Source organism: Homo sapiens, chromosome 5 (assembly GCF_000001405.40).
Source record: "Homo sapiens chromosome 5, GRCh38.p14 Primary Assembly".
Taxonomy (NCBI): Eukaryota; Metazoa; Chordata; class Mammalia; order Primates; family Hominidae; genus Homo; species Homo sapiens.
In genome coordinates this window covers 34,648,904-34,660,962 of record NC_000005.10, presented here as the reverse complement: position 1 = coordinate 34,660,962, position 12,059 = coordinate 34,648,904, and the positions used below count along the sequence as shown (strand labels likewise).

Here is a 12,059-nt window from a genome sequence, read left to right as displayed (position 1 = left end):
CATAACACCTGAAGGGATGACACAGCCATGTAGACGTCTAAGAGAAGTGCTTTCCAGGTAGTGGGAAGAGCACATGCAAAGGCTCTGAGGCAAGACGCCTGGTGATCCTTTTGCAGAATTCACGAGCATGATGATTGCATGTGTAACATGTGTCTGACATGAACTTAGGGAAAAAAAAAAAAAAGAATGTGCCCAGCAATTTGAAGGAATGAGGACGCCAATGTGTTTAAATGCCTTAAACTCCTTTCAGCCTGAGTGGTTACCATTAGGGTAAAAATGCGTCACTAACACAGCAACATTTTCACAGACTCTTAGAACAGGAATGTGCCTTTGTAAATGCTTACTCCTACCCCTTAATCTTACCAAAGAAATGAGGAAGAGGAGGTTGGGTGAGTAATCCAAGGTCACACGGCCAGTGAGTAGCTGAGAAAAGGTTTCTGCACAAGAATCCCAAACAGCACCATGGATTTGTCTCATGCTTCAATTTTACAATGAAGAGCCACTTTTTCTTTTTCTTTCTCTCTTTGAGTTGGAGTTTCACTCTTGTTGCCCAGGCTGGAGTACAATGGCCGGTGGGATCTCGGCTCACTGCAACCTCCACCTCCCAGGTTCAAGCGATTCATCTGCCTTAGCCTCCCGAGTAGCTGGGATTACAGGCATGCGCCACCACGCCTGGGTAATTTTGTATTTTTAGTAGAGACGGGGTTTCTCCATGTTGGTCAGGCTGGTCTCGAACTCCTGACCTCAGGTGATCCACCTGCCTCGGCCTCCCAAAGTGCTGGGAGCTGAGACAGGGTCTCACTCTGTCGCCCAGGCTGCAATGCAGTGGTGTAATCTAGGCTCACTGCAGCCTTGACATCCAGGACTCAAGCAATCCTCCCACCTCAGCCTCCTGAGTAGCTAGGACCACAGGCACACCACCACACCCAGCTAATTTTTGTATTTTTTGTAGAGATGAGGTTTTACCATGTTTCCCAGGCTAGTTTTGAACTCCTGAGTTCAAGCAATCCTCCTGCCTTGGCCTCCCAAAGTGCTGGGATTACAGGCATGCAACACTACACCAGTCCCACTTTTCTTAATTAAAACAAAGAAAGAAAAAAGAAAAAAATAATCCAGCCAACTATGTAATCTTCTTAGAATTTAATCAGTTTCACTTTTTTAGTCAACAGATAGCCAAGACCATACAAGCACCCTAAATATTTGTTGAAGAATGAATAATAAATGCAATATTACCTAAACTTCATTACCCAGCAACTAACTAAATAAGTGTGTAACAGAAAAATGTGTGCACAAGAAAACATCTCAGGATGTTTATTGTACAAACTGTTATAGTAAAAAGAAATAAAAATAAAAATGAAAATGGAAATAGAGTGTCACTCAGCAGAAAAAGTGTAACAGTGAAAAACTAGGCCAGGCACAGTGGCTCATGCACTGTGGAAGGCTGAGGTAGAAGGCTCACTTGAGGCTGAGAGTTCAAGGCCAGCCTGAGCAACATAGTAAGACCCTGTCTCTACAAAAATGAAAAAAATTAGCCAGGCATGGTGGCATGTGCCTGTGGTCCCAGCCACTTTGGAGGATGAGGCAGGAGGACTGCTTGAGCCCAGGAGATTGAGGCTGTAGTGAGCAGTGATCACGATACTGCACTCCAGCCTGGGTGACAGAGCGAGACCGCAGCTCAAACAAAAAACAGTGAAAAACCAGAAACCCTAACTTACTCTTGGCAAGGGAGTAAATATACTATACTTTTTTCATACACTGGGATTCTCTGTAACAGCTAAAGTGAATAAAGATCTATTAACACATGTATCTCAAAAACATAGTAAGTTAAAAATGCAAGCTATACATAGGTAGAATTATGCCATTTATGTAAAATGTTAAACACAAACTCACATGTATTTTTTTGTGGATACAGTGTAGTTCCAAACATGCTTGAGAACTGTGTGCGCTAACTTCACATTAGAGGTTACCTGAGGATGGAGGCAAAGGAGTAGGAATAGATCAAATATTTAAGTTATAGTTTATTTTTCCGGGGGGGGAGAGGTATGGATCAAATATGAAAATATTAGCAACTATTAAACCTAGGAAGTAGAAGACAAAATGGCTTACTATACTCTGTTTTTATGTATGTTAGAAATATTTCATACTTATTTATTTATTTATTTATTTGAGACAGAGTCTTGCTCTGTCGCCAGGTTGGAGTGCAGTGGCGCAATCCCAGCTCACTGCAACCTCCACCTCCCGGGTTCAAGCGATTCTCCTGCCTCAGCCTCTCAAGTAGCTGGGATTACAAGTGCGTGCCACCACGCCCAGCTAATTTTTATTTTTTGTATTTTTAGTAGAGACGGGGTTTCACTGTGTTGGCCAGGATGGTCTCGATCTCCTGACCTCATGATCCGCCTGCCTCGGCCTCCCAAAGTGCTGGGATTACAGGCATAAGCACCATGCCTGGCCCTTATTTTTATTTTTAAAGGATGAAAAAAAAGGAAAGAAGGAAGGGAGGGAGGGGGTGGAGGAAGGAGAGGCAAAAGTTGTCCACTGCATTCTATTAATTCCAAGGCCCAGTTGTTCTTAACCTCCAAATCTGCTTCTTCACTTTTAAAGCCTAGGTGATAGTACGTGTACCTGCCTAGAACATGCTTTGAAAACTAGCAGACTGGAGAGAGAATTTCACTGTCAGGTTCACTACTGGTGGGCGGGACACTACATCATTCCCCTACGGAATCCCTAGGGGGCTCAGCATCCTTTCTGTCTCTTCAATTCAGATAACAGTAATAAGATTTTCCAGCAGGGTTATAATCACACCACCACCACCACCATCTCCAAAAAGCCATAAAACAATAAATTCATTACTGAAGCATCTCAGTGAATGGAGATGAAAACTGTGCAACAGCCCAGCACGGGATAGCTCTCCCAATCTCTGTTAGACAAGCACTGGCTAAAATATAAGAACTGGATCAATCTCCTCACATAAAATCAACTGTCTTACAAACCCAAGGGGGAAAAAAATCACACTTGTTAGGCATCATTAAGAAAAGATTATCAGATTATATACATCAGTAATAAAATTCCGAGCCACAGGGCGAACAGGGACCTGCAGGCTGGGGACAGAGCAGCCAAAATCCAGCCTCCCTGTGATTCCCGACCTCTTCTCCAACTCTGTGCAAAGCCCGAGGAGGTGAGACTCTCTTCGCTAAGGCGAGCTTCGGCTATGTCCTAGTGATGGACAGTTCCTCTCTGCCAGGCCCCTGCAGCCTTGAGACCACATTCCCCAGAGATCCGGCAACGTTTCCCCATCCCAGGCAGCTGGGCATTCTCCTCTCCCGGAAGGAAGACGGAATCCCACCCCGATCATGCGTGAGCTGCGGCGAAGAGAAGCCGCTGGTCCCGAGGCGAGGGGCCTCGAGTCCGCAGATTCCCCTCAACATTTCTGGGAGTAAAGTTGGGCTTAGCTGGGCTCCTGGCAAATAAAGAGGAGCCTGGAAAGACAGCCATGCTCAGGCCCCCGTGAGGCCACTTCGGACCCCTCCACGCTGTGCTGGGCTGCATCTGCCTTAATTCCCCGTCTGTTGCTTCTCCAGGCTCTGAGCCCCCTCCACAAAAGGGGGATGCGAAACTCAAAGGAGTTAGGATGTCAACCCTGCAAACCGCAGAAACTAAACCGACACCAACCTGCCCAAGAAGGCAGCGAAGGTGGTTGAGGACGACACCCCACCCCCCACCCCCCACCAGGCAGGGGTCGCGGGAGATGGCGGGCGCCTTTCTGGTGGCTCCACGTCCTCCTTACTCCCGAAGTCCCGGCGGCCCCGAGTCTGCCCCAACTCCAGCATCCGTTCTCCCCGAGCTGCGGCGGGGAAAACAAGGTAGGGGGCAGGGGCAGGCCCAGAGGGGTCTCGCCCCCGCCCTTGGGCCGGCCGAGGGGCTCCCTGGAGTCAGAGGAGGAACAATAGCGGACCCCGCGTCCTGGGAGCCACCCGGAGTCTCCCGCTCGCACCTCCCTCCCCACCTCCTCCAAGTTCAGCCGGGAGGCGGATTGGGCTCAGCAGCACCGACGCGGGGGCAGCGAGGCGCCGCGCGGGGCGAAACAGGTGGGACCCGGCGCAGACTCCAGGGTGCATCTCCGGGTCTGCTCATTCATTCCCACCCGCGCTCCCTCCGCCGCGGCCCCTGCCCCGCGCCCCGCCCCAGCCGGCCTGCGAGTCGCGGAGGACCCGGGAAGAACCCTTCTCCTAACTTGGCCGGGTCTTCCCGCTCTACCCTCATCTCCACCTTCCTCTCCTTCCTCTTGTCCCCAGATCTGCTCTCCGCAGACAGTGGGCTGCCGGCGGTGGACCAGGGAGAGGTGGCGGGACCCCGGCTGCAGCCCGCTCAGCCGCTCCGCCCGGGCGCCGTCCCCAGCGCCTCCCGCGCCCGAGCTCCAGACACAAAGGCGGGGACACGAGCCCGGGACCCCGCGCCGGGAGCCTCCCAACTCCGTGCCGCGCACTCACCCCATCGAGGCGGCGGCGGCGCTCCCCGGACCCAGCTGGCTGCTCCACCCCGCCCGCCGCTTCCCCAGGAAAACGCGGCCGCCGGGCTCGCTTCCTGCTCGGCTTCCTGCGCCGCAGTCCCTCCTCCTCCCCCGCTGCGGGGGTCAGTGGGCGCCGAGCTCCCGGGCTAGGCCGGCGGGGCGGGGGCAGCGGCAGCACCACCACGTGGCCGCCGGGCGCCGGCCCCCGCCGACCTGGATCCAGTGGGAGCGGGAAGGGAGGCGCTAACCATTCCCCTCCCATTCCACCCCTCGCGGCCCCAAATTCCGCGAGTCAGGTGACCCGGCCCCGGGCTCTGGCCGGGACCTGCGGGGGGTGCTCTCCGCCCTCCAGCCCCCGGCGCATCTCCCCGGCCCGCGCGTCCCGGCTGTTCGTGGCTTGCTTTTAGTCTCCAGGGATCGTGGGACCCTTCTCCGCGGATCTGTTTCATCCTCTTAACCTGAAGTTAGTGGAAGCCCCCCACGCTCTGACCCCTGGGTTTAGGACGGATGAGATCCCAGATACTGTTTATTTCTGATTAACTTCCAAAGTCGTTTGTGGTAGTGGCGAGTGTTTCAAAGTCACGGATCCAAGCCCCTTCTGACCAGAATCTAAAAGGTTGTTTTCCAAAATCATTGAACAGAAAGTAAAGTAGAATGTGCTCACGTTCTCCGGACTGAACCAATTGGTTGAAGTGACTGTTTTCTAGCACTCATTGGGTGGCAAGGCAAGACTACCACCGTTCAGTGTTGTTCTGCTCAGGAGTTAGAAAGGAGAAACCTACAGCCTGAACTGACAGGCGAGATTGCGCATGGGAACGCCTTCAAAATAGTGTGTGAGAAGCCACGGGGTACAGGCTCACTGCCCCAGGTCCCCGACAGCTTCTCTCCCTATCCCAGCCCACTAAGGCCCGACCTTTCAATTACGATGGACTCCACCATTAATTCCAAGGATTTCAAAGCTCTCTATCTACCCACTCATCTAATTTGGGCTGGCTTTTCCATGCATTCTAGTCATGCTAACCAGCTGTGACTTCAGTTCTGTTCACCTAAGCTCCTCCCTTCTCCTCGTTAGCTCTGCCTCCTTTGCTCAGGGAAGAAAGCTTTCTAGAATAAATAACGTATTGAGTTCTTTCTGGGATCTACTGTAAGTCAATTGAACTTAAGAGGGAAAAAAGGTCGATTCCAACAAAATTGAAATTCACCCTAACAGCTCAGTTTATAACGTGTCAGCTACATACTAATATTTATATGGCAGATATTACCTGTTCCCTCCCCCCGCCCCATCCCCCTTTCCTTCCTCCCTCTCCCTACTAGGGAAGAGCCTATCTCCCCTTTAACAGTTGAACTTGACAAACAAGCATCAAAAGCCTTGTAACTAGGTGCAGGGTCTTCACTTCCTACAGCAAAAGTTCCTTAGCCAAGTGAGGAACAGCTAAAGCAAGATGTACACTCCTCTTCCTGTCCTTTATCCCTCTCAAACAAAGTCACACTGTAAAAGAAACATGAACTGACCAACATTCTTTTGGTTTAATGCTGGCAATTTCTACAATAGTGTTTCATCGTGATTCTTGTTAATGACATATTGTAGGGTATTTAAGGGGAACATTACTGCCTGTGAGTTTTCTGCTCTATTTTTGCAGGTCAGTCTGGTTCAAGTAGGGGCAGCTGGGAGGATGGGATTTGGAGCATGGTACAGGTAGATGATGCTGTCTTGGAAATTTGACATGTGTGTATTCTGTAGGAACAGTTGACATTTTGAAGGAGTTAAAATATTAGACAACATTAAACAATGATTGTCTAAGGCAGGCACATCTGACTTTGATTCACAGAGGTCCTGTCCCTCTTCTTTTTTCTCTGTCCCAGCCACCTCCAAAGAGCCTACCAGCCTATCACCTCTTAGATTCCCATAGGTGGTTTGTATATGATTCTCCTTAGTTTACACTCCCACCCTCTAAAGTCAGCAAGTCTAACTCTGGATGAGGGATCGTTGTGAAAGTATTCTTATTTTTTTGGGCTGTGCCAAGATCCTTTTCCAGATCCCCACTTTTGAAACTCAAAGCAACTTTGTAGTCTGTAGACTGAGCATGGCAGCTAAGTTCTGCCAACTGCAGGGGGATTAGTGGGGAAGTAAGAGGTTCAATAGCATCTTCTTATTGGTTGTGTTGCCCAGGCGTTTTAGAAATGCTAATTGGGTTCATTGGATACATTGAATACCACCCTTTGATGAGAACTAGGCCCAGGTGAAAGGGGTTGAGTTAAAGAAGCAAAAATAAAATGACCAGCTAACCTGTGTAAAGTAGTAAAACCTTTTGGGAGGAGCAGTATGTTGCATTCCTTTATCCAAATATCAAGGTAACAGCAGTGTAATATGTAGTGCCATGAGCACCAAGAGCAAGGAGACTGGGTTTCCTGACCCATTTCTTTTGCTTACTTGCCATTTGACCTTCACCAAGGGTTTTAACTTCCCCTGTTCCCCCTTTCCTCATTAGTAGAAGGGAACATCAAAGTACATGACCTCCAAGATCTTTCTTTTCTTTTGTTTTCTTTTTTCTCTCTTTCCTTCTTTTCCTTTTTTTCCTTCCTTCCTTCCTTCCTTCCTTTCTCTCTCTCTCTCTGTCTTCTTTCTATCTTTGTCTCACTTTGGTGCCCAGGCAGGAGTGCAGTGGCACAATCATGGCTCACTGCAGCCTCAACCTCCAAGCTGAAGCTTTCCTCCCACCTCAGCCCCCAGGTCCCACCTCACTAGCTGGGACTACAGGTGTGGGCCACCACACCCGGTAATTTTTTTTTTTTTTTTTTTTTTGTACTTTTGGTAGAGACAGGGTTACGCCATGTTGCCCAGACTGGTCTCGAACTCCTGGGCTCAAGCGATCTGCCTGCCTCGGCCTCCCAAAGTGCTGGGATTACAGGCATGTGCCACCATACCCGATCTTTTTCAGTTCTGACATCCTAAACCTATTCTCTTAGTTTGTAGACCCTTCATAAGCAAAACTGCCCTGTCATTTCATGACGAAACATTGTTTTCTGATCACACTAGCAGGTCAGTCTTGTCAAAGCAATACAATTGTAAACTCCAAAGAGTGTTGCCATCCAGGACATCACAAATGAAATTCATTGATTGAGTGGGCTCAATTTTTATTCTTGAGATTAAATGATATCATCCCTTTTTCCTTGCTCATCCTTCATCAATACTGGTTCTTCTTAGATTATGAGTATCTTGATTGCCCAAGTCTGAGGAACCAAAGCTAAGACTTGTTGGGATAACAAGAAACTGCCCCTGCAGGAGGAAGGAGAGATAGATATCACACCACAGCCAAAAAGTCATTCTCCACTTTATTTGGTGTTTGGTCAGGAGCTGACTGTACTTCTGGGTCTAGTTAGAGGCAGCATGATTTAGAGGAATGTGGAGATATTGGACCCAGTCCAGAGAATAGAATAAAAATGCAATAACACAATCAGAAGGTTGGAGGGAGATAATCTACCAGAAAAAGTCCAAATATTCATAGAAAAAACACTTTTTGTATTTTCCTGGGGATGTTTCCAAATAGAAGAAAACTGTAACATGGGAAAATTAATAAAATAACCTTGGCATTCCTTTTCATAATTAGTAAGACCATAGTAATGAAGTAGCCTGCAAAACACTAATTGGCTCATGGTTTTTCCACTTGCCAGGGAGTCAGCAGAGATTTCTCCAAGGGTAAGAGGCTACTACAATATTCTTCTCAGTGAGGTTGGGCACCTGCCGAGGAAACGAGGCTAAGATCTTTGGCAATAAATACATTCCGAAGACCTGCATCAGTGCCCTGCTTGCAGAGTGTGGCAGAGAAGCTAAGCATCTCAAACTCGGCATTACAGACCTGAGAAGGCTGTAAGACTCTCTGGTCCATCATCACACGGGAGGAATATAAATCCTCAGAGCTGTGCTGGGCAGCATGTTAGCTGCTAGCCACACATGGCTGCTGGACACTTGAAATGTTGCTAGTCTGAATTGTGCTGTGCTGTAAATGCAATTCACACCAGATTTCAAAGAGTTAGTATTTTACAAAATGAAAAAAATGTCTCACTAATACTTTTTATATTAGGCATTGAAATAATTTTGGGATATATTGGGTTAAATCTCAACACTAATTTCACCTATTTCTTTTTTACCTTTAGAAATGTGGTTGCTGAAAATTTAAAAGTATACATGGCTTACATATTTCTATTGGTTAGTACTGCTGTAGGAGCTAATATTAGCAGCTAACACATATTTAGCAGCTATTCTATACTAAGTACTTTTCTATGCCATGTATATATTAACTATGATGACTGTCTACTTAATTGTCTAATCTGGGACAATTTTGAGAGTGAAAGAGGATGGGTAACTTCTAAGCCAGCCAGAACACTAGGACTAAAGGCAGAAACTGGAACTGTCCTAAGCAAACTGGGATGTCAGGTCGTCCTAATGTTAGGTCATTTAATCATGACATCAGCCCTGTAGGTATAATTATCCCTTTGGGGCACAAGAGGGAACTGGAGCACAGAGAGATTAAGTAACTTGCCCAAAGCCACTCAGCTAGTGAGTAGCAATGCTGGGATTTAAACGAGGGTAAGCTGACTCCAGAGGCATCATTCTTAACTGCTGTGCAACACTCTCTGCTAAGAGCTAACATAGGATTGAAATTTTAGTAGGTGGGAGATTTTTCTTAATCCTCACAGCAACTTGGATGTAGTATTACCCTGTTTTCACAGGTGCAGAAACTGAGTTTCAAGTAGATCCAGCAACTTGCCCAAGTCGTAAAACCAGAAAGAGTGGAGCCGAGAATCAAAGCTTGGATGCCTGACCAGAGTGGACCTTTGAAACACTCCTCTGTATATTGTCTTCAGGCTGCCTGTATTTACAAACTCTGATATTGACCTCATTACTTCTCCCCGTTCTGCAGGCAGAAGACTGCTATGAGAGCACTTAGGACCCAAGCGACATCAGCCTTGGAACAGGCAAATAAAAATGGAAAGCTAATCTTGGTGGCCTTCTCTTCTTCAAAAGGACATTTTTAAGATCCAAATAGCCATCAGTATGGCCAAGTTGGTTGTTCGGCTATGCATATCAGAAATTCCATAAAATATTCTCCAATTACGGTGCTGGAGGAGGGTATTATGAGGAGTTCATGAACATCAAGAAGGCAGTTAATGGGTTATCAGAAGACTAAGAGAAGTGGTTTCCACAAAGCACAGAGTCAGAAGCAATAATGTGGTGTTTGGAGCCACAAGTACACCAGGTGCAGCTTTTCTTGCTTCCTCTACAGTGGATCACAATCTTGGCAGCCCATTTAGAATCACCTGCTTTTAAAAGTCACCAACTGCCTTGGCCCCATACCCTAGGATACTTACTAAAGTGGTCTGGTGTGGGGCCCAAGCATTGGTATTTTACAGTCTTTCCCTAGATCATCATTAAATGGGGCCACTGCTTTATTGGTTGTCCCAGCCATGTCAGAGCATCTGGCTCTTGACTTAGCATTGCAAGCAGAGGGAAATTAGGTAAAAAGGGTGGGGTGGTTCTTGCCATGGACCTTGCAAAAGTTGATGCTCCAGAAAGATTTCTTGACAGAGTGATTCTAAACTGAGTTGCTATTTTTGTTGGTATCTCTCTGGTACATTTGTTTTCTATTATGGAGTTAAACCTGCCCTCTGAGATTCCTGTTTTCTTCATTGAGGTCAATTTCTGCTTATGAGATATTTTGTGTTCTTTCTTATCCAAATAGTGCACCGGTAGTAAATCTGTGTACTACTTTTGCTGATGAATTATTTCAAATCTATTAATGGTTTCTTGTCTATGTTTTTCTTTTCCTTTTTTTTTTTGAGATGGAGTCTCGCTCTGTCACCCAGGCTGGAGTGCAATGGCATGATCTCAGCTCACTGCAATTTCCGCCTCCCAGGTTCAAGCGACTCTCCTTCCTCAGCCTCCTGGGTAGCTAGGACTACAGGCATCCACCACTACGCCTGGATAATTTTTGTATTTTTTTTTAGTAGAGACAGAGATTTCACCATATTGGCCAGGCTGGACTCAAACTCCTGACCTTGTGATTCACCTGCCTCAGCCTCCCAAAGTGCTGGGATTACAGGCATGAGCCACTGCGCCCAGCCTTTTTTTTTTTTTTTTGGATAAGTTCTTGCTCTGTCGCCCAGGCTGGAGTGCAGTGGTGCGACCTCGGCTTACTGCAACCCCATGCTCAAGTGATCCTCTCACTTCAGCCTCCCCAGTAGCTGGGACTACAGGTACATGCCACCACACCCGGCTTTGTTCATGTTTTTCAAAGGCTCTGTATCCATTTGGCTTCTGTTATTCATTTTCATTCTTCCATTTTTTGTTTGCTTTCTTTAAAATCCTTAGTAGACTACATAGTTTTAAAAATCTATCTTTGTACTGTATGAGTGAACATTTTTTTTCTTTTCTTTTTTTTTTTTTTTTTGAGATGGTCTCACTCTGTCACCTAAGCTGGAGCACAGTGGCACACAACTCACTGTAGCCTCGACCTCCTGGGCTCAACTGATCCTCTTGCCTCAGCCTCCCAAGTAGCTGGGACCACAAGTATATGCCACCATGTTCACTTAAATTTTTTATTTTTTGTAGTGACAGGGTCTCACCATGTTGCCTACGCTAGTCTCAAGCTCCTGGGCTCAAGTGACCCTCTTGCCTTGGCCTTCCCAAGTACTGGGATTATAGGTATGAGCCACCACACTCGACCATGAACACAGTTTTAAGAGACACTTTTCACAGCAGATTGGTCATGCTTAAGACATATGGCTGTACTACTGTGAAGATATGTATCTATATCTATATATATAGTTTTTTTTTTTTTGAGACAGAGTCTCACTCTGTCACCAAGGCTAGAGTGCAGTGGGGCAATCTCAGCTCACTGCAGCCTCTGCCTCCTGGTTCAAGCGATTCTCCTGCCTCATCCTTCCGAGTAGCTGGGATTACAGGTGCACACCACAATGCCCATCTAATTTTTGTATTTTAGTAGAGATGGGGTTTCACCATGTTGGCCAGGCTGGTCTCGAACTCCTGACCTCAAGTGATCTGCCTACCTCAGCCTCCCAAAGTGCTGGGATTATAGGTGTGAGCTACCATGCCCGGCCTACTGTGAAGATACTGAAAACATTCCACAAGTTCTTTGTTTTGCTTTAATACAAACTTTTGTAACTATCCAGCTATGCACTTTAAGCAGGTTTCTCACATTCAGGATGAGAATTCTTCTATCTAAATTATTATTCTTTTTTTGCCTTCTCTTTCAAAAAGAGCCATGTAGTTTTTTGTCTTAGACTTCTGGTTTGAGTTCCAGAATAAAAAGATGAAGGCTGTGAAAATGTGCTTGACTATACTGTGACATGCCAGAACATGGAACCAGAAAAGAGGAGAGGGATGGAACTGTGGGAGTCAGGGAGACCGCTGTGAAAATATTCCTTCCACATGAATAGCATTCCTTCTAAATGATTAGAGTTTAGAGTGGAAGGTCCCAGAAGCCACCAGAAGCAGGAAGAGAGGCCATGCGACTTCCACTTGTGGATTCCT

At 46.9% G+C, this 12,059-nt stretch overlaps 1 protein-coding gene and 1 long non-coding RNA gene across 9 annotated transcripts in view, besides 1 other annotated feature; one reads left to right on the top strand and one right to left on the bottom strand.

The window, feature by feature from the left end:
• The window catches only part of RAI14 (retinoic acid induced 14), a 176,285-nt gene extending 171,650 nt beyond the window's left edge, over positions 1 to 4,635 (bottom strand). For 2 of the 8 annotated variants that reach the window (XM_047417088.1, XM_047417092.1), the window contains exons 1-2: positions 4,267 to 4,472; positions 1,891 to 1,967 (exon numbers count right to left, since the gene is read on the bottom strand). The gene's annotated coding sequence lies outside the window, so the exon portion shown is untranslated. The other 6 variants (NM_015577.3, NM_001145522.2, NM_001145520.1 and 3 more) reach the window with 4 other exon arrangements.
• Positions 4,628 to 4,677: a silencer, noted in NCBI's record as "silent region_15966". NCBI's record gives its function as "represses an Ori minimal core promoter by ATAC-STARR-seq in GM12878 lymphoblastoid cells {active_cell/tissue: GM12878}" and the evidence as "EXISTENCE:reporter gene assay evidence [ECO:0000049][PMID:35858748]".
• On the top strand, positions 4,790 to 11,854 carry RAI14-DT (RAI14 divergent transcript). The gene is made up of 3 exons (NR_183264.1): positions 4,790 to 4,970; positions 8,180 to 8,537; positions 9,239 to 11,854. It is a non-coding gene; the product is annotated as an RAI14 divergent transcript (long non-coding RNA).
• Positions 11,855 to 12,059: the final 205 nt, after the last annotated feature.